At 34.7% G+C, this 23,675-nt stretch overlaps 1 long non-coding RNA gene across 1 annotated transcript in view; it reads left to right on the top strand.

The window, feature by feature from the left end:
• Window positions 1-4,233: 4,233 nt before the first annotated feature.
• The window catches only part of LINC02232 (long intergenic non-protein coding RNA 2232), a 90,220-nt gene continuing 70,778 nt past the window's right edge, over window positions 4,234-23,675 (top strand). Inside the window, exon 1 of the long non-coding RNA NR_033976.1 lies at window positions 4,234-4,331. This is a non-coding gene — a long non-coding RNA (long intergenic non-protein coding RNA 2232). The remainder of the gene's footprint in view (window positions 4,332-23,675) is intronic.

The raw sequence follows: 23,675 nt of genomic DNA, 5'->3' as shown, positions 1-23,675 counted from the left end.
CATAGCATGCCTCTTTCTGTATCTCTATTTCTACTTAACGGTGAAACTTTGGAATATCATGAATTCTTGAGCATGACAATAGCTTTGTGAAAGCTTCTACAGAACACAAAGGAGTTGATGAGATACTCTTCGGATACTTTTACAGATTTGTAGATTCTGACGAATTTTACTAAAAAGATTATAGTTCAAAACGGAAGTATACATGGGAAATATGAATTTATATGTGCAATCATACAAGTGATTCTTCCTCTTTATAATTAAAAACGTACATGAAAAGATCCAGAATTATAATTTTAAATTCAGAGCACTACCTTCGTTAGACTCAATATAGATTGTGATGAACCTTCCCTTTCAACGTAATGTGCTTTTGTAAGACAATAAGAAATGATTATATATACATGAGGTTTCCTTCCCTTTTCAGTAAAGATATTTCTCTTCAAAATGTTGACATGATATTCAACAAATCTTGGATAGCTTGTATCATTCAGGCACCTAAAACAAGCTCATTTTGTCTTGTTTGTACAATGTATGAAATCTAAAATTTACTCAGAATTTGTTTAACCTTAAGATATATCACATGGAAAAGAAAAGGTAAAATAATTCCCCAACGTACACGAAAAAAACATATTCTTAAAAAAAGAAAAAAATTGCAGGAGGGGTATTATTTGTAATAATACTACACTGCCACCTTGTGGAGTGACTGACTGAAAACCAGTCAAATAAATGTCACTGCCCGGTTTTCACCCCTAGAGGCTCAAACATGTCTCTTGAGGATTCAGGTAGGGGCTGTTATGTAAGTAATTTATAAATAACCACATAAATGGATACATTTTAGTAGCAGACTACATTGCTCATGAATAAACTTGTTATAAACAAATAGCCAATTATAACTAATTTCTTTATAGATATATTTATTTTTAAAAATGATTACATGGTATGAAGTACATTTTACCTGGAAAACAGAAAATATGGAATTCAAGTCCTGCCTCTGCCATTACTAGCTGTTTATATTAAGGTTTTATAGCCCCAATTTTTATTTTTCAGAGAGAATTATGCTTACATTGTATTTTAAAACATCATTTCTTGTATGTATAATTCTCCATTTGTCATTCTGTGAGACATCCTTTGAAAAAAATTTTTTCACATGCCAACTATTTTCTAGGCAATATACCCGATGCTTGGAAATTGATGAGGAAATAAAAACAAGCATGATATGGTATTATCTGTTTATGATGCTTAGTGAAAAGTCTAGTAAAATGTCAGTCAAATTTAATTACAGTAAAATTTTGATATTTAGTAAAGGCTTAATCCCCCAGTTAATAATAAGAATTATATATTTATTTCAAGGTCTGATTGTACTACTTACAATCATAAACCATGAGACAATTATGTAGAGTATCAGCAGATTATTTTAATTTCTTTTTCAAAAAATAATATATTTCTAAAACAATTGAAGTTATATAAACATTGGAAACAAAATGGGCTCTGTAAAATGTAAATTTTTTGTTTGTTTGTTTGTTTTGTTTTTTTAAGATGGAGTCTTGCTCTGTCACCAGGCTGGAGTGCAGTGGCGCAATCTCAGTTCACTGCAAACTCTGCCTCCTGGGTTTCAGCTATTCTCCTGCCTCAGCCTCCTGAGTAGCTGGGATTACAGGAGACTGCCACCACGCCTGACTAATTTTTGTATTTTTAGTAGAGAAGGGGTTTCACCAAGTTGGCCAAGATTGTCTCAATCTCTTGACCTTGTGATCCACCCACCTCGGCCTCCCAAAGTGCTGGGATTACAGGCGTGAGCCACTGCGCCTGGCTGTAAAATATAAATTTTGACAAGCAAAATTTTACTACAATGTAATTATGCAGCTAGATTTTCCTGGGAAGGGAAAATGTTTCACTAAATTTATATTCTTTCTGCATTCTTAATTATTTCAATATAACTAATATTATATTTACATGGAAATTCATTAGATTATTTCTATTTGTGCTTAGAAGTGAAACATTCAAAATACATTATGATTACATTTTTAGCCCACTTATAATATCAGATTTGGAAGAATTACTAATTTTTTAATTAAATCTTAATAGAGTTACTACCCTAATACTACAATGTCATAGATTAATGATCACGTATTACGTGTGTGTGTGTGTGTGTGTGTGTGTATGATTTGTGTTTCAATATACGTATTTCAAAGTGTCATTCATCCAAATATCTACCTCTTTTGTGCTAGCTACTTAGGGCCATTCACTTTCATTTTTATTTTTCTACTAAATAATTGCAGAATATCATGAGGGTATCTATGTGATGGACCTTCCATATCACCTTTTTCTCATTCGCTGGTTGACATTAATAATTAACATGATTATTTTCCTTGCTAATTATCTCATATTGTTTCACCTTCTCTCTTCCCAAAAGAATATAAGGCAGCTTTAAACAATTGACCAGAAATATATGCAAATTGAAACCCATTGTCGATCTCCAATAATTGTGTTCTATAATGATAGGTTAAGCTATTTAGTCCATATCACTTATAGTAATTCATGGCTAATACGTGTTTAAGGATTATTCTTGTCATACTGTATTATGTATCTAAATGTACTTTTCTACTTCAGAACGTACAGTGAAGTGAAATATAATTGTGCAAAAGAAGCTGTCAAAAATACAAATAAGAGAGAACTATTAAACCAAAAAAACATAGAGACATGATTCCAAATTCTAAGTTTATGAAAAGACTTGGGGGATGATACCTTATTTATCTATCAAGAAACATTTGAAAAATATTTGAATAAAGTATAACAAAAATAAGAATAACCAGTTATTTCTATCATTCATGATATTTCAAATAAATGTTGTTTCACTGTCCCCTTTCTAGAAGCATGGGCCTTAATGATTTGCAGAAGGACAGGTGTCCAGATGGCCTTTGCTGACCCAGTTCTTCTCCTCCTTGGTTACAATTATCAGACATTCCAAGAGGAACATTCTGAGATAAAGAGGAAATATGTGATACAGCCCAGTTTGTGTCCTCATTTCTCCCAGCATATGATGTTCTACAGTGCTTCAGCACAGTGACTCAGCTGGGGACTAGGGTATAAAACCCAGAGCAAAGTGCTTTTGGAGTCCCTCAGCAGCAGAGTTACATGGAGCACATGGTGATGAGACTCCATCTGCCCTGGGCAGTTGTACTGAACCTTGGAGAACTAACTCACTGTAGACCCAAGGCTTCTGTGTATACCTGCTGCCTATGTATGACTTCGCCTGACTTATGAGAGTGTTCTTTCTGACCATACCATACCTAAGAACCTTTGCTATGTTCCTTTTGGTAATGTATTTATTTGCTTACCGCCTCCTTCACAAAAAAAGTTTCTAGGCATCAACTATATGCCACACAGGTTTCAGGTACTAGCTGTTTAACGGTGAGCAAGATGACAATAGCCCCTGCTTTTATGGAGATTACGGTCAGTCAGGAAGCAAATAAACTAAAATGCATAAATGCTGTGACAGGATAGATAATACAGGTGAATACAATAGGACATATCTTAACCTAGAAGGGCAAATAAGGCATCCTGAAAGAAGTAGCCATTAAGTTATGCCAGAAAGATACCTGAGAATTATCTAGACTAAAAATAGAAATGGGAAATATTTCAAGAAGAGGTATTAGCATATAAGTCTTGGAGGCCAAGAAGAATTAGTTGGATTCAAGAAATTAAAAGGTAAGTGAGTATTGCTGGAGATTAAAGTGGAGGGGTGAAGTGACAAGAGGTGAATGTGGATACATGGGCAGGAGATAGTGAAGAAGGGTCCTGAAAATATAATGAAAAGTTTGAACATTATACCAAACACAACTTGAAAGCCCTGACGTGATTCACTTTTCATGTTAGAGGAGCCACTCACCATCATTGTTGTAGACTATATTGGATAGTTGAAAACCGGAGGGAGGCAAAACAAGCAGATGATGGGAAAAGGTCGAAGCAAGAGGCGATAGTGACCTAAACTCAAATGATCGTGGTGGAGATAGAGAAAAGACGGGGGTTCCCTGTGTGGACAGGTCATGGTGCAATTATCAGAGTCAGAGATTGCTGTGAGAGGAGGAAGTTTGTGGAGTTAGATGGGCATAGAGTAGAACATGAGCTAGTTCAGTTTTGGATGTGTTGAGATTTTGATAGGGCCAACCAACAAATATATTAGGCTGGAAGTTTGAAAAACAAAATGTATCTGTACTTTCTCTTTCTCTCTACAGAGAAATCATGGGAAAAACTGCCCATTTCTGTTTTGTCCACTTTGCTTTGGGAAGTGAGAGCTATAGTCATTATCACCACATCCCCTGGCATCCAATTCCGTAAGTACTGTGAATTCCACTGGCTCTTAATTCTTGAAACTTTTGGTGAACTACAGATTTTCTGGTCTGTGACCAAGGCTGTATACCAGAGAGGAAAGTCTGGGAAGAGAGAATGTAATCATTGATGAAGAAGTTTTTAGTTAATATACAAAATATACTTTTAATCTTCAGACAAAATTGGCATTTTTAAAATCACTGTAGAGATTTATTGATCCATAGAAGTTTTGCTACCATTAATATTTATAACTCGGAATGACAATGTCAAAGTCAATAGATACAGTCAACCACATCCAATAGCAATAACATTAGCTCGACGAAGTTTAATATAAAATCTTAAACAATTTTTAAATTGATTTAGTCTGAAAGTAAAAGATTTTATTTTTGAAGAGTGTCGTAAATGCAAGTTGTAGTATTTCTGGAAGTATAAGGCAAATGGTTTTTTCAAAGAAAAACATTTTTTTTTTCCGGAGGCATGTTTGAGTGATAGAAATTGAGAAAATGAACAGTATTAAAGTGTCATAATTTCTTGATTTTTTTCATGCATTTTAATTAGTGACTATTGCAGATATGTACTTCAGCATCTGTTTAATAAGTATATTACTTTAAACAATGAGTGTTGTGGAGAAAGTATACCACTTTCTCATTCCAGCTATCACCTCAATATTTGCTTAACACTTCACTGTGAAAGTTAGAAATAATGGAATAAAAGAAAAGCATGTTTATTAAGTTACATCTGAGGCCAGCTTTCTGAATTGTATTCTTTTAGATTTTTACTGGGTTTTATAATTTTTTTCCTCAATTTTTCTTAAAGAAATAAATCTTTAAGAGACAGCTGGAGGGAGCTACCTGGATCTTTCTCAATAATATTTCACATCATTTTACACCAGGGAAATCATTATCTGAATTTTTTTGTTTCTTAAACACGTTTTTATACTTTTATTACAAATATATAAATACATAAATTATATTGTTTTCATTTTCATTTTAAATATTTATAGTTATTTATATTGCATATATGCAGCTTTAAATTCATATTCTTGTTTGAGATTATGGATTATGTTTATTTATTTATTTATTTGGAGATGGAGTTTTGCTCTTGTCCCAGGCTAGAGTACGACGTTGCTATCTCAGCTCACTGCAACCTCCGCCTCCTGGGTTCAAGTAATTCTCCTGCCTCAGCCTCCCGAGTAGCTGGGAATACAGGTGCCCGCCACCACATCTGGCTAATTTTTGTATTTTCAGTTGGCCAGTCTGGTCTCGAACTCCTGACCTCAGGTCATCCTCCTGCCTCTGCCTCCCAAAGTGCTCGGATTACAGGTGTGAGCCACCGTGCCAGGCCGGTTTCATTTAACATTTATTTACATTAGCATGTGTAACTCTGGTTCACTTTGAAAGCTTGCAAAATTTCATTGTATGATTATACTGCGGGTTAACCACTCTACTTTTGGTTGACATGTGGGAGGTTTTCTTACATAGCTATGATAAGAACTGTTGCATTGAATGGTCATTTACATGCCTCATTTTCACATATAGGTGAGATTCCTGGAGTTTTATACCTACGAATGAAATTGCTAAAGTGCTAAAAATATGCGTATTAAACTTTATCGTATATTGACAAGGTTGTGGAAAATTAATGAATTTTGGGGATACCTGCAAACCATAGCAACATGTTTTTCTATGGCTGTTCTTATAGCTCACTTACTAATGCATATTACTAATATAGTTTAAATCTTTATTTAAATTGTGCTACATTTCAAACCTAAAGAGAACTACAGAAAATTATAAAAGACTACTTAACCTTTATTTAAATTAATATACATCAAAATATAATTAGAAATAAAAAATTAATCATAAGAAAAGTTATTTTCATATTTTCTTCCTGTCACGTTTATGGAAATAAAAAGTTATTCATAAAGTTGGAACATTGTTATGTTTTTCCTTAATTCAGTTTCACTCTCTTCACTAAGGTAACAATTATTTTTCTGAATTTTGTGCTTATCTATTTTTTCACTCAGCATTATACTTCTGAGATGGATCTGTGTTGATAAATTTAAACCCAGTTTATTTATTTTAATTGTCAAATATTATTCCCCTGTGTTAAAATGTTAGCATTTTCTTATCCCTTTCTTTACTTCTGGACAGTATAAAGCCTCTGAGCCTTCTTAGGGTGCAAAGCCTTGGCTAGGTCCACAGTCATCCTGGAATCACAATGGATTTGGCAGGGCTCTCTTTTTTCTTTCCCTGGCCACAGCAAGCTGTTGAACTCTGCTAATTGCTATTGTTTTCAACAAGGTCCTGGGAAATAAATTGTTTTGTAGACTGATCCAATGAAACTTGAGCTCCTTTGAGAGAATAGTTTCCCAGGTCAGTATTCGAGATTTGTTCTGGTCCCCAAAAATGGCCTCGCAACTTTCTTTTTCACCAGTTATCTCCGGCAAACTAGTTGGCCTGTAGTTTAGATTATGTCTTCAAGGAACTACCATTCTCTTCCCAAGAGCCTTTCACTGCAAGCTCCAGTGATTTCGAGAATGCCCTTAGTCTTGAACTTCTCCAAATTCAGTTGCAAATGATGTTTCCTAAGAAGGGAGAAATTTGCAGCTCTCTGTTTTGTGGCCTGCTTTTGTCCAGCACAAAATCTTTAAGCCATGGCTTTGCGCTGGGGGCAAGGGCCATGGTGAGCTTCTCTTGAATGACATTCTTCGTTTAATAGCTGAGTACGTGGTAGAAGGGGCCACAGCTCCAAGTCTTCTTGGCTTGGCTTTTCTAGTATAAAACCTCCACCCCAAAAACTCGTGCAAAGAGGATTGGGGGACCCAGTATTTTTAACATCAACATATCCCAAGCAAAGCCTCCATCCTGTGAGTGGAGTCTGCATTGCAAATGGGAAACCCTATCTCTTAATTGGTCTGCTTAGAACTTGGTTTCGCAACAGGTAAATGACAGACTCACTTTTACTGGTAAAATTTATTAGATATTTATTGAATATTATTAATTTTATTTTATTAATATTTATTAAAGATTTCTTCATTTGTTGTATGCCTTTAAGACCATTGTGAAACATTTAAATGTCGGGGTCTCTCTGTGTGTGTATTTAAAAATAAGTATGATTCATTTTATTGGGAAGTAGGTCTGCAGAGCTCCTCTTGGTATCATGTCAGAATTGGAACTGCTGCCCCAATCTCTTTGGTGGTATCCCGCAAGTTTCATACATAGTGTTTTAATTGTAGCTATGAACTAGATTGTGTCCCTCCAAATTTTTTTGAAGCCCTTAACCTTCACTGTGATGGTCTTTGGAGACAGGCTGTACAAGGAGGTAATTAAGGTCAAATGAAACCGTAAAGAAGGGACCCAAATCTGAAACGGATGGTGCCTTTGGAAAAAAAGAAAGAGACACCAAAGCTGTCTCTCTCTACTATGTCAGGACACAATAAGAAGGCAGCTATCTGCAATCTAGAGAGAGAGTACATTCACCAGGAATTTAATCAGCCACCACCTTCATCTTGGACTTCCCAGTATCCAGGACTGTGAGAAAGTAAACTTTGTTGTTAAAGCCACTCAGTCTGTGGTATGTTGTGGCAACCTGAGCAGACAGTTATTATTTAATTAAATAAGTGTGTATTTTATAATTGCTGGATTATTTATTTCTTGTTCTGTAAATTGTTTGTAAGCCTATGTTTTGTTTTATCATATGATTTAATGGGAATTAGATATATTGAGTTATTTGCTACCCTCCATCCTACCATGGTGTCATAATTGGTTTATGCACAACCTCTCCCTTACTTTTGGGACCATTTATATTATTTTAATTTGCTGTTACATTCCAGAAGCAAATGTATATTTCATTCTTATCATAAATATCCTGTTCAATAGATTTGATAAGTGTATTTTATTATGAACTTATCTTTATAAAATATATACTGTGGCATTTTGAATGCGTGAGTGGTATAGGTTTGTTAATTGTATCATGCTATAAATTTCATTTGAGTTCATGACTTTTTCACTTAAAAGTATATTTTAGTATCTACCTATGTAGTTCTATGTACACTAGTCTTTCTTTTTCTAAGTTCGTATGCTGTAGTGGGCATCTACCAAATATTATTTAGGTATTCTCCTAGTGATTAACTTCTAATTCCTTTCCAACTCCTCTTATTAAAAACATCATCACAATTCATACCATGCAAGTTTGGACCCTAATCTGTGTGTGGCCCATAATTGAGGCTTTGATTTTGTAAAAATCACTTTTCACTGGAAGTCCTAATCGCACTGAAAACTGCCCAATAATGCATGCTGATGGGAAGAAGTGTTGTGTTTGATGCTGAGTTAGGGGAACACTACATTGCTTGCTTGGTTGCTTGGTTGTTTATTGTTGGTGGTGGTGCTTTTTTTTTTTTTTTTTGGTTTGGATGATTTTCTTTTCTTATTTTTCTTTTTCTTATTTTTTTCCTTTAACTTTTATTTTAAGTTACTGGGTACATGTGCAGGATGTGCAGGTTTGTTACATAGGTAAACGTGCACCACGGTGGTTTCCTGCACAGATCAACCCATCATCCAGGTATTAAGCCCAGCATCCATTAGCTCTTCTTCCTGATGCTCTCCTTCCCCACAACCCCCATTTTTAACCAGGCCCCAGTGTGTGTTGTACCCTGCCATGTGTCCATGTGAACCTCGTATGTATTTAATAATAAGTTTCTTATCTTACAATGAGTATTAGAAATCTAGACTCCCTGATCTCAGAGCCTGTCTTGACATAATTTACTTAGAAGTTCACTTTCATCTTAAAATTATGGCTTTCTTTGTTCTCTTATTTTGGTATATGAGGCTATCCCTTTCTTTTGAGTTAGACTTTTTATTTAATTGCTCTAATTTATCAAACTTTTTTGTTTTAATGTATAAGAGCACTGCATGCATCACCTTAGTTTGTCATGTTGCTAAAAGTTCTCCAAGCATTGCTTTTCAGAATCTAATGCATTTACATTGTTGGCAGTTGAGAATTTTGACTAATGAGAACATATGGTGCTGTCAGTACAACAATAGCATAATATTTAGAATAAAATCAATTATCTATCAAAATTAATCATCTATCATTTCAAGCTGAATATGCACTACACGGCATAGAATACAATGTGAAAAGTGCCTCCTGGAGATGTAGAATGTGGCAGTATGGCAGAAAAAATGAACAACTATTGGTAAAGCAGAACATACTCATAAAAAGTAAACATTTTACAAAGTCATTTTTTGTGATCAGGTGGATAATAATAAATGAGAACAAATATTATATTGTAGCTTGGAGGAAAAACAATGATCTTTTTTATCATAAATAAATGAATACTCAAATATAATATATCAAATAATTATTTTTTTAATTTTTATTTTAAGTTCAGGGGTACATCTGCAGGTTTTTTCTATAGGTAAACTCATGTCACAGGGTTTTGTGGTACAGATTATTTCATCACCCAGGTATTAAACCTAGTAACCATTAGTTATTTCTCCTCTCCCTCTTCCAAACTTCAATCTGCTGGTAGGCCCCAGTGTCTGTTATTCCCCCTCGATGTACAGGTATTCTTATTATTTAGCTTCCACTTATAAGTGGGAACATATGGTATTTGCTTTTCTGTTCCAGCATTAGTTTGCCAAGAATGATGGCCTCCAACTTCATCCATGTTTCTGAAAATGACATGATCTCATTATTTTTTATAGCTGTATAGTATTCCATGGTGTATATTGTACATGTACCACATTTTCTTTATCCAGTCTGTCATTGATGTGAACTTATGTTGATTCCATGTCTTTGGTATTATGAATAGTGCTGCAATGAACATACATATGCATGTATCTTTTTGATAGAATGATTTATATTCCTTTGGGTATATACTCAGTAATGGGATTACTGGGTCAAATGGTACTTCCATTTTTATATCTTTGAGGAATTTCCATACTGCTTTTCACAATAGTCAAATCAATTTACACTCCCAACAATGTATACACATTTATTTTCCTCCACAACCTTGTCAGCATCTGTTATTTTTGACTTTTTGATAATAGCCATTCAGATTGGTGTGAGATGGTATCTCATTGTGATTTTGATTTGCATTTCTCTAATGATAAGTGATGTTGAGCTTTTTTTCATATGCTTGTTGGCCACATGTATATCTTGAGACTTTGAAATATTTTATGTTTCTGTTTTTTATTTTTGTAATTTTCAAAGCAAAATTAAAAATTCAAACATTAATTCAGAAGGAAAAAGTCTACATTATATGCCACATATCCTAATAGGTTCATTGTTTGTCTTGTGATGTATTTATTAAAGTACAATTGTGGGTAGATCTTTTGAAGAATGAGAGAATGAAAGAAGTGGATAAATTTAAAAGATTGCTGCATTGTTCTATAGAGGCTTTTTGAAACTGTTGTGACAGAAGTATCATCTTAACAGTTTTATTTTTGCCAGTATTGCTACCAGCAAGTGGAGAATTGGGAAGCAGAAATAGAAGAAAACTAAATATAGGAGTGACATGATCTTTTAACTTTCAGAGATGCATCCTGATTTGTTTCACGTGAGGAAAGAAAACTATAGATGATTTTTATTTCTATGAAAGTGTTAGGGGGTTCATACTTACAATGTTTTATTTGACTGGGGAATAAGACTTGTAAGCACTTGTTTTGTTTTTGCAAAATTGTTAAACTAAATTGAGAACATCTAACTTAAATTTCATTAAAAACAATTTTAGGCCTCAGGAATTCTAGATAAACAAGATGTCACTTGGAATTTAGACATTTAGAATGTCATTCATTCAAAATAAAGTGATGTTATGCCTAGAAGACATAATTTCAAAGTAGAAGAGTTTAGCATAACAATGCCAATCATACTGAAAAGCAGATATTAGAGAATATCTAATTCTCTTTGCTTTTGAAGAATGAGAATTGTTGAGACTTCATAAGATTAAATAGTATAATTTTATTTTTGGTGGAGGAATTATGGAAAACTTTAAAAATAACATCAGTATTTTGTCTCTGTAAAAAACTAGTTCTACGCAAATAAGAATTTATACTACCTATAAATGTTAGAAAGAAAAATATATAATTCCAAAATTTGATTTTTATAATGGCATTTTATTTTTATCATAAAAAGGATATATGTGTAATGAATTAAGTGGGAAGATAGAAATATTAGCATATGTGTGTGTAAAGGCCTAAATAAAACATAGTCCTACATAGCAGATTAAAGTGTGTGTGTACACATGGGTTCACAGTTTCATGCACAAGTGATTGTGTGTGTGAGAGACAAAATAAATTGTGAAAACACTGGAGTGATTGGCTATGTGCTATTAATTGAGGGAAGGTAGAACAACAGAATCAGTGGAAACTTTGGAGAACATATGAGCTAATCTGCAGCTCTGAAGCTCGTTGGTGACTCAGCTATTGTAAATATATATGAAGTTGCATGTTGCCATCTCAAAGACTTGCAGAGAGAATCTCTTACTATCCTAAGAATAACAAAAACATTTTGTTGTGTTATTTTTATATCTAGCTAAAAACCTCCCTTTTAAGTTATTTTACTTTGGGTTTTGCCTTTGAGGACAGAGACGTTTGAGGATATGGAGTGGAACTTGTAAACATTTACTGCCTCACAAATTCACAGACACACATCAAGGCAGTTGAGCTTGGTTTTAGCTACATCTTGACTCTTTAGCTACTTTGTTTTTAATGGTATTTACCTTTATTGTTCTTATTTGTTTATTATTTAGTCACTAAAATCAGATTTCTTACCTTTCATGAAAGTCAACATATAACTTCATAAAATAATTGAATTGTCCCTGAAATAAGTTTTCCATTTTTTGATGCTGTTGAAGGTTTCTTTGGCAGTCTTAGAATAAAGCAGTCTAACAAGGATACCCAGAAATTGAACTCAGCTCTGCACCAAGTGGACCTAATAGACATCTACAGAACTCTCCACCCCAAATCAACAGAATATACATTCTTTCAGCACCACACCACACCTACTCCAAAACTGACCACATAGTTGGAAGTAAAGCACTCCTCAACAAATGTAAAAGAACAGAAATGATAACAAACTATCTCTCAGACCACAGTGCAATCAAACTAGAATGCAGGATTAAGAAACTCACTCAAAACCACTCAACTACATGGAAACTGAACAACCTGCTCTTGAATGACTACTGGGTAAATAATGAAATGAAGGCAGAAATAAAGATGTTCTTTGAAACTGACAAGAACAAAGACACAACATACCAGAATCTCTGGGACACATTCAAAGCAGTGTGTAGAGGGAAATTTATAGCACTAAATGCCCACAAAAGAAAGCAGGAAAGATCTGAAATTGACACCCTAACATCACAATTAAAAAGAGCTAGAAAAGCAAGAGCAAACACATTCAAAAGCTAGCAGAAGACAAGAAATAACTAAGATCAGAGCAGAACTGAAGGAAATAGAGACACAAAAAACCCTTCAAAAAATTAATGAATCCAAGAGCCGGTTTTCTGAAAAGATCAACAAAATTGATAGACCGCTAGCAAGACTAATAAAGAAAAAAAGAGAGAAGAATCAAATAGACACAATAAAAAATGATAAAGGGGATATCACCACCGATCCCACAGAAATGCAAACTACCTTCAGAGAATACTATAAACACCTCTACACAAATAGACTAGAAAATTTAGAAGAAATGGATAAATTCGTCGACACATACATCCTCCCAAGACTAAACCAGGAAGAAGTTGAATCTCTGAATAGACCAATAAGAGGATCTGAAATTGAGGCAACAATCAATAGCTTACCCAAGAAAAAAAGTCCAGGACCAGATGGATTCACAGCCAAATTCTACCAGAGGTACAAGAAGGAGCTGGTACCATTCCTTCTGAAACTATTCCAATCAATAGAAAAAGAGAGAATCCTCCCTAACTCATTTTATGAGGCCAGCATCATCCTGATACCAAAGCCTGGCAGAGACACAACCAAAAAAGAGAATTTTAGACCAATATCCTTCATGAACATCGATGCAAAAATCCTCAACAAAATACTGGCAAACCAAATCCAGCAGCACATGAAAAAGCTTATCCACCATGATCAAGTGGGCTTCATCCCTGGGATGCAAGGCTGGTTCAATATACGCAAATCAATAAATGTAATCCAGCATATAAACAGAACCAAAGACAAAAAACATATGATTATCTCAATAGATGCAGAAAAGACCTTTGACAAAATTCAACAACCTTCATGCTAAAAACTCTCAATAAATTAGGTATTGATGGGACGTATTTCAAAATAATAAGAGCTATCTATGACAAACCCACAGCCAATATCATACTGAATGGGCAAAAACTGGAAGCATTCCCTTTGAAAACTGGCACAAGACAGGGATGCCCTCTCTCACCACTCCTATTGAACATAGTGTTGGACGTTCTGGCCAGGGCAATTAGGCAGGAGAAGGAAATAAAGGGTATTCAATTAGGAAAGAGGAAGTCAAATTGTCCCTGTTTGCAGATGACATGATTGTATATTTAGAAAACCCCATCGTCTCAGCCCAAAATCTCCTTAAGCTGATAAGCAACTTCAGCAAAGTCTCAGGATACAGAATCAATGTACAAAAATCACAAGCATTCTTTTACACCAATAACAGACAAACAGAGAGCCAAATCATGAGTGAATTCCCATTCACAATTGCTTCAAAGAGAATAAAATACCTAGGAATCCAACTTACAAGGGATGTGAAGGACCTCTTCAAGGAGAAGTACAAACAACTGCTCAAGGAAATAAAAGAGGATACAAACAAATGGAAGAACATTCCATGCTCATGGGTAGGAAGAATCAATATCGTGAAAACGGCCATACTGCCCCAGGTAATTTATAGATTCAATGCCATCCCCATCAAGCTACCAATGACTTTCTTCACAGAATTGGAAAAAACTACTTTAAAGTTCATATGGAACCAAAAAACAGCCCGCATCACCAAGTCAATCCTATGCCAAAAGAACAAAGCTGGAGGCATCATGTTACCTGACTTCAAACTATACTACAAGGCTACAGTAACCAAAACAGGAAGGTACTGGTACCAAAACAGAGATATAGATCAATGGAACAGAACAGAGTCCTCAGAAATAATGCTGCATATCTACAACTATCTGATCTTTGACAAACCTGAGAAAAACAAGCAATGGGGAAATGATTCCCTATTTAATAAATGGTGCTGGGAAAACTGGCTAGCCATATGTAGAAAGCTGAAACTGGATCCCTTCCTTACACCTTATACAAAAATTAATTCAAGATAGATTAAAGACTTAAATGTTAGACTTAAAACCATAAAAACCCTAGAAGAAAACCTAGGCATGACCATTCAGGACATAGGCATGGGCAAGGACTTCACGTCTAAAACACCAAAAGCAATGGCAACAAAAGCCAAAATTGGCAAATGGGATCTGACTAAACTAAAGAGCTTCTGCACAGCAAAAGAAACTACCATCAGAGTGAACAGGCAACCTACAGAATGGGAGAAATCTTTTGCAACCTACTCATCTGACAAAGGGCTAATATCCAGAATCTATGATGAACTCAAACAAATTTACAAGAAAAAAACAAACAACCCCATCAAAAAGTGGGTGAAGGACTTGAACAGACACTTCGCAAAAGAAGACATTTATGCAGCCAAAAAACACATGAAAAAATGCTCCATGATCACTGGCCATCAGAGAAATGCAAATCAAAACCACAATGAGATACCATCTCACACCAGTTAGAATGGGGATCATTAAAAAGTCAGGAAACAACAGGTGCTGGAGAAGATGTGGAGAAATAGGAACACTTTTACACTGTTGGTGGGGCTATAAACTAGTTCAAGCATTGTGGAAGTCAGTGTGGCGATTCCTCAGGGATCTAGAACTAGAAATACCATTTGACCCAGCCATCCCATTACTGGGTATATACCCAAAGGATTATAAATCATGCTGCTATAAAGACACATGCACACGTATGTTTATTGTGGCACTATTCACAATAGCAAAGACTTGGAACCAACCTCAATGTCCAACAACGATAGACTGAATTAAGAAAGTGTGGCACATATACACCATGGAATACTATGCAGCCATAAAAAATGATGAGTTAATATCCTTTGTAGGGACATGGATGAAACTGGAAACCATCATTCACAGCAAACTATCACAAAGGCAAAAAACCAAACACCGCATGTTCTCACTCATAGGTGGGAATTGAACAATGAGAACACATGGCCACAGGAAGGGGAACATCACACACTGGTGACTGTTGTGGGGTGGGGGGAGGGGGGAGGGATAGCATTAGGAGATATACCTAATGCTAAATGACGAGTTAATGGGTGCAGCACACCAACATGGCACATGTATACATATGTAACAAACCTGCACGTTATACACATGTACCCTAAAACTTAAAGTATAAGAATAATAAAATTTAAAAAAAAGAATAAAGCAGTCTAATGGGAAGAACCAGATAAAACATTCTAATACTAAATTAGATATGATTCTTTAATACTGGAATATAGGAGCTTTATTTTTCCTGATACTACTTGCAAAGTTCTTTTTTAATATCTTTCACTGACTTTTGTAGTGGTTTTTTTCTCTTAATAATAAATCTTACCAAGTCTTACTGAACTTCTAATTAATTATACACACCTTTCCCCAGTTTTTCATATTGACTCATTTTCTCTGTTTATCATTATTATTTTTAACTTTTTATTTTAAGTTCAAGAATATGAGTGCAGGTTTGTTACATAGGTAAACTTGTGTCATTGGGGATTGTTGTACAGATTATTTTTGTCATGCAGGTATTAAGCCTAGCATCCATTAGTTATTATTATTTGTTGGTTAGAACATATAGATCACATGACCTTACCATTTATCTTTCTATCATCAAACACTTTAAAAAAATAAATGTTACAGGTAAAATGTAATAGATTCCATACAAATTTTTACAGATAAGGAAATATATATTATAGTGAATATGAGAAAAACATTGGGTTTAATAATGTCAGAGTAAAATACCCACTGAGGGCTCTTATCCAAAACTATATGAATATTTACACAAAGCATCTTTCTTTTACTCTCCCTGTAAGTATGTGTTTTTCTAATTTGTTATTGTGGTTAAAATACCCATAATGTAAAATTTACCATGCAAACTATTTTTAAGTGTGCATTTTGCTGGAATGAAATACATTCACGATGTTTCACTGTCATCACCACTATTCAGCCACATCACTCTTCACCAAGTAAATTGTACCTGATGAAGTACAATTTGATGATGTACTTGATGAAATTGTAAAGTTTCAATTGAAACTTTATACCAATTAAAGAATAATTTCCCATTTCCATCTCCCCCACCCCTTGGAAACCAGCATTCTACTTTCTGTTTTATGTGTGCTCTAAGGACCTCATATAAATGGAGTTGCATAGTTTTGGTCTTCTTGTAACTGGCTTATTTCACCTCGCATAATGTCCTCAAGGTTCATCTATGTTGCAGCATGTCTGAATTTCATTCTTTTGTAGGGCTGAATAATATTCCATTTTATGTATATACAACATTTTGCTGCCTATTCAACAGTCGAAGGACACAAGTTTCTTTTATAGTTTAGCTATTGTGTAAAGCAGCTATAAACATAGGTGTAAAAATGTCTCTTTGAGACCCTGCTTTCAACTTGGAGGGTTATATTCCCAGAAGACTTCAATGGGAAAAGCAAAATCTCTTTAAAAATTGGTGCTGTCATGGACATAAGGATGAAATAACAGACTGAGGACACCAAAAGAAAGGAAATAGGGAGAGGGGCAAGGGTTGAAAAAGCTACCTATTGGATACTATATTTACTATTTGGTGATGGATTCACCAGAAGCCCAAGCCCCAGCATTAGACAATACAACTATATAACAAACCTGTACACCTACCCCTGGATCTATAATAGAAGGAAAATAATGGTGTTGAGAAAAGTAGATTTCCACATGCAAAACAATAAAGTTGGACCCTAATCCAACGTCATATATAAAAAGTAACTCAAAAAGGATTACAAGCCTAAATGTAAGACATAAAACTATACAATTTTTAGAAGAAAACATAAGGCAAATGCTTTAAGACACTGGATGTGGCAATAATATCTTAGATATGGGTAATATAGTTAATAAAATGCAGTAAATTCCTAACAGTTTATATGGTAATGTTTGAAGGCAATTACAAATGAAATTCTGAGATATGATTATTTGCAATGTGACTAGCATAAAGTACATTGTTTGATTTCCTATGGGAAATGGCAAAAATTCACTTTCTAACTTAAATATTTACAAATATCATGGGAATTTAAATGTGTGTTCCTTTGGGAAGAAGTTTAATAGATAGAAGAGCTATGTGTATATTCAGGAATTTCTTCAGGACAGGATTTCATGGAAGAGTGTATTAGTTATAGAAATATTTATTCCTTTTTCTCTTCCTAAAATTAAACTTTACAAAGTTAAATCTACACAATTGTCCCTTCTAAACATGACCATAAATCTACCACTAAGAAGATCTAGGCTACATATTTATTCTAGAGAAATTTCATTATTATAACGAAAAAAATCCTAAAGTCAATTCTAGGAAGTGGTAGTATCTCAGAGGGAGGACTGCTACTATTGAGTACATTACAACTTCTACCAAAAAAAAAAAAAAAGGAAACCCATTTTGTAAATTTTGACTGCATTTCCCTGATCAGTCTCTCTCTCTCTCTCTCACTCTCTGTCTGTCTCTCTGTGTTCCAAACTCTTTTCTAACAATTAGTTACACTTAGTGTGGAAGTGAATGGGTTATTGATAATCACAGGTAATCAAAGATAAGCTACAAATATGGCCCTTTAGGGAAAGAAAAGAAAGAAACAGAATCATTGTGGATATTACGTCACCACATTCTTCTCCAACTTTTGCTTAGGTGTGCTCTTTTTGATGGAGTATGGAGCTATAACACAATCATTTGGATTTTCTACCATGTGAACATCTGTAATATGTGATTTGGGGGCGGAATGATGGGAAAGAAGCATAAAACATTTTGACACGTAAACAAGTTTCACCCATCTGTAAGGAAAACAGATGATTTATTAGACCTGTCTCTCTGTAGATAAAAACAACATACAAATCTTCTGCTGTTTCAGAAGACACAATGATTGGCTGCCTCATAGGACTATGAGGATGTATTGAGTTAAGGAAAGTAAATAACTTAGCAAGGTGTCTAGCATACATTAATTACGTAACATGTGTATAGTTAAAATTACAGATGGTTTATCAATGTACTTTTTTATCTCAATGTTTTCTCATTTGACATTTGCTCTCAGTGTACTACTCCTACTTTTTTATTTATCAACTACAAGACTTTACTATTGTTGTTGTTGTTGTCTTAATACTGCCTGTGCCATCTCTCTGTGGTCCGTGGTATAGTTGGCTTATATATGTGGTATTTATTAGCCAACTATACAATATATATATAGTATATATATATATATATATATATACAACTATATATTGTATATATACAATATATAGTTGGCTAATAGCAAATATATTGGAAACAACAAAGACTTCAGAGTCAGATAGACCTGGGGTATAAAATCACTATTAAAAAGTTGGTGTTTTGGGGAAGAATACTTGATTTTTTTTTTTATTTTGACAAAGGAATACAAAGATAACTTGACCTGGCCATCCTTAGCTTAACCTGCAGTACCTAAGAATGTGACTGTATTTGAAAATACAGCCTTTTAAGAGATGATTAAGTTAAAATGAGGCCACTAAGGTGATGTCTTTATAACAAGAGGGAATTTGAACAGAGCAAGAATACACATGCATAGATGAAAGACTATGTGAGGGTAGAGAGAGAGAATGCCCATCTACAAGCCAAGGAGAGAGCCCTCAGAAGAAAGCGAACCTGTTGATGCCTTGATCTTGGACTTCTAGCCTCCAGAACTGTAAGCAAATAAATCTCTGTTGTTTAAGACATCCAGTCTGTAGTATTTTGTTATGGCAGCCCTAGCAAACTAATACACACATATTGACATTTGTCATAATTTTTAAAAATTTACTTTTTGAGGTGAAATTGACATAACATAAAATTCACCATTTTAAAGTAAACAATTCAGTGGCATTTAGTTCATTCACAATGTTGTGCAATCACTGCCAGTAGTTCCAAAACATTTCCATCATTCCAAAATAAAACTCTTACACATTAAACAGTTTTTCCCACTTTTCTCTGTCCTGTTTCTTATAATGTTGATTATAACATTAATGTAGAACTTCAGTAAGGTAGGTTAGATTATATAAGTAATTCCTATTTTTTAATATTTCTATTGTTAGGTAGTCATAAGCTAAATAAAATTCTATGAAAAGCTTGTTGAAAGAAGTTCACCATCATCTAAGAAAAAAAAGATCTAAACAGCAAGCCAGTAATAATTTTCTCCTTCATTAAATGGAGCTGCTCTAGTCTTCAGGAAACAGACCTAACTATACAGCCAAACCACTCGCCACATCCCATGAATTGGTTTATAACAGAAACTCTGACTATTTCTTATTTCAAGCAAACAAACATCCAGATGCACTGCTCCAAGTTCTGCCCATTGGGAGAATTTCTGTTCATTAGTGTTCTTCAAGGATATCTCAAAACAGGGCTATCGTGTTGAATCTATTTACTTTTAGGCCATACCTACATACTGCACAGAACCCTGTGTAAACTAGGCCCTTTTTCTTCAGTCAATTGATTATAGAGAACTCTCTAATGAGGCAGTAAATGTGGACTGGAGAGAGAAGAGAACATGGTAGGAGTAGGAACCATGGGCATTTGGGCTGCTTCCTCATGTAACTTACTTGTTCCTCAGGGCTTCCTTCAGTCCAGTCTCACATATACAACTTCCACTTAATGTTGGAGTGCAGCCATGCATACCTAATTTTATAGTTTGTCCCCACAATACTCAGTTCAGGATGAGCACCTCAGGTCACATGGTAACTTGGTGTCTGGGGTTAACATTCAGTTGCTTCCCAGTAAATAGGATAACCAATAACTTCCCACAAATTTGCAGTATTCTGGATCAAATATAAAGCTCTGGTTAAAGAAAAATTGTGAAGAATATGTGGCGTGAGGCTGAATTGTAAGTGGTTAAACATAGTTTTACTCATGGTGAATTGGGTCTATTTATCAACTGATATGACACTGTAAAATAACAGCTTAATTTGGGATAGAAAAGCAAATCAACCTTATTGTTGATGCCTGGGGGATTAATGATTCTACATTTTCTTTTTGATTCACTTATTTTGATCTTAAATTGTGAAACTCAATTACTAGAGATAAATCCAATCTAGTCTCATGGCATAATTAGTTTTTGTAGAGTCCATTATCCTAATAATTATACTCTAATTGGCACAAAAATAAAATATTCTGATAAGCAACATCAGGAAATAATAGCAGTAATTAATAGTAATTAAATTCCATGCAGCCCATCATAGAGCTCAGAGGTTGAAGGTGATTTTAAAAGTACATTTAGTAGGACTCAGGCAGAAATCATAAATACTTAATATGCATTGTTTTATTTTTAATTAATTATACTAGCTAAAATACACTAAAAATTCACAATAGAGAATTTTTTCTATACTAAAAATAATTCTGAGTGAATTCAATGAGTAAATGTATGTTGTGTTTAAGCTTTTATTTATTCATTTAATCCAACATGCCTACCATATGTTAGGCATTGAATTGAATATTGAGGAAGAAACAACTTATATAAGACATACCCTGAATCTTAAGGATGATAAAACTTCATCATAAATTCAGATTGTAAAATGAGGTCCCCTGATTGGAGATCTGAATTCAGGATAAAATGTAATCTCTGTTTGGTGGTAACAGTGGGGATGGAAATTGAGAACATCTTTTTCACCTACTCTGTGTTTTCATGTGGAGAGATAACAATAAAGATGACCTTTTTGTTTCTATTTCCTGAGTTACTCTGTTCCTTGAATCCTCTGGAAAAGAGGAGTGAGTTCTTTGATTAAGTCTGAGAGCTAAAATTGAAATGGCATGGCCAAGTTCATCTTATTTTTTTCTTTAGAATGCTCCTACCTTCACAGGATGTATTTGCTTTGCTCTTCGTGCTGTAAAATTTACATGGGACACATGCAACATCTGTGAGATGGGACTTCCAGTTAGGCATTTTCCAAGAATGTGTAGGTCAGTAAGGCAATCTAATTCTGGGGCTTAGTTTTAGGAAAACCAATAGGCCATATACCTTAGCCATGTTTGCCAATAACTCTGTCATTTGGCCTACATCAATGTTTCAGTTACTTATTTTTGAGTAACAAACCTGTCAGTGGCTGAAACAAGACCAATTTATTTTTTCTCATAATTTTGTGGGTTGACTGGGCTCACTTTGGTAGTTCTTATACTACATGTGATTTAGCTAAGATCACTCACGTAAGTTGTATTCAAAGCAAGTCCAAAGCAAGTTACTTGACCTGTTGTTTATTGGGGACTACAGTGAAACAGTCTACCATAATCTACTTGACCCCTTTGTTTACCTCTCAATTGGTTCTGAACTTGGATGAGGAAGAGGGTTACTATAAATTAGAGTCATGAAATAAAAGCATTCTTTCCAAGTTTCTTTCTTTCAGTGATGCTGTTTTTCTTCTTTTAAATCTTGTCTATTTCTTAGCAATATTTGTTGCCAGTTGTATTGATTATTGGAACTTTTATTCTCTGCATTTCTTCTATGTCTGCTCCTGATTTCAGCACACCCTGTCTCTACTAAAAATACAAGAGTAGCAGGGCGTGGTGGCGCATGCCTGTAATTCCAGCTACTTGGGAGGCTGAGGCAGAAGAATCGCTTGAATCCAGGAGGTGGATGTTGTGGTGAACCGAGATGGTGCCATTGCACTCCAGTTCAGCCTGGGCTCGAAACTCCGTCTCAAAAAAAAAAAGAAAAAGAAAAAGACTATAAGTAACACAATAATGATAAATACCTTTTTGTTTGCATTGAGGAGAACAGCTTGAAATACAATAATAAAAATAAAATATAAAACAAAGGACATGCAAAAAAGGCAGGGGGCAGCCTTAATAAACACACATTGTGGCACACTGGGCAACACTATTAGATTCCTAACTAACTTTTTTCACATGTCCATTTCTAATATAAACCAAATATGTAGAACCATATGCTTAAATACCACTCCTGACTTAAATTGTGGACAGCATATGGTTTGTGTTACTTTTCCAGCCTCAAGGACAATTGTGCATTCACCTTCCCTTATCCTTTTCCACTTTCAATCGTAACATGAACAATAATAAGGTGGTCAGTAGGAGATAGGGGTTTTATTTAGAATGATCAAATTCTAACTGATCAAATTTTAACTGATCAAATCAGTTAAAGATAACTGATCCATGAAGTTCTGGAAATCACATTAAATAAGTAATATTTGAAGGAGCTATCTTCAGCCTGGGATAAAAATACAAAAAGCAAGGATAGCTATTTTCAAATATTTTAGGAATTGCCATGTGAATAATTTAAAAACTCTTTTGTACCTTTCTAGAAGAAAGATCGTTAAGACCGATAAACAGTGCTTTCATGAGGGCAGGCTTAAACTAAATGCTATAAGAAGCTTTCTGGAAATTAGAGTTGTCTAATCAAACTGAATTCTACAGAAGCAGACAGATTTCTTTCACTAGAATTATGTAAGTAGATGTTGCAGCTCTTCAGCAACTAAAGACATTTCTGTACTGATTGGTTTTTGAACTATAATATATGAATAAGATTATTTCTGGACATCAGATTTCAGTAATCATTTCCTAAATGTTATCATGATAAGCTTTCTAAGAGTTTATGGTAATTACCCAAGTTAAATGGCAAGAGAAATTGGTGCTTATGTCAACATGGTTTAAGAAAAATTAGTGCCTGGTGTGGGGCGTGGTGTCTCACCCTTATAATCCCAACACTTTGGGAGGTTGGGCCGGGTAGATCACTTGAGGCCAGGAGACGGCAAAAACCTGTCTCTACTAAAAATACAAAAATTAGTTGGGTGTGATCGCACACTCTTGTAATCCCAGCTTCTTGGGAGGCTGAGGTGGGAGAATTGCTTGAACCTACAAGAGAGGTGGCCGTGAGCTGAGGTCTGGCCACTGCACTCTAGCCTGGGTGACAGGGCAATGCCCTGTCTCAAAAAAAAAAAAAAAAATGTAATTAAGATTTTCAAAGGTAGGTTTGGTGCTAATATTATTTAGTGTTATCTGTGGGCATTTCTCTCTGATTGCTCCACAATATCATTGAAAACCAAATGGCTTGGTTTGAAGATTTCAGGCACTTTAAACCATATCACT

Source organism: Homo sapiens, chromosome 4 (genome assembly GCF_000001405.40).
Source record: "Homo sapiens chromosome 4, GRCh38.p14 Primary Assembly".
Classification (NCBI taxonomy): Eukaryota; Metazoa; Chordata; class Mammalia; order Primates; family Hominidae; genus Homo; species Homo sapiens.
Note: the sequence above shows the minus strand (reverse complement) of the source record. Positions and strands in the feature narration are given on the sequence as shown.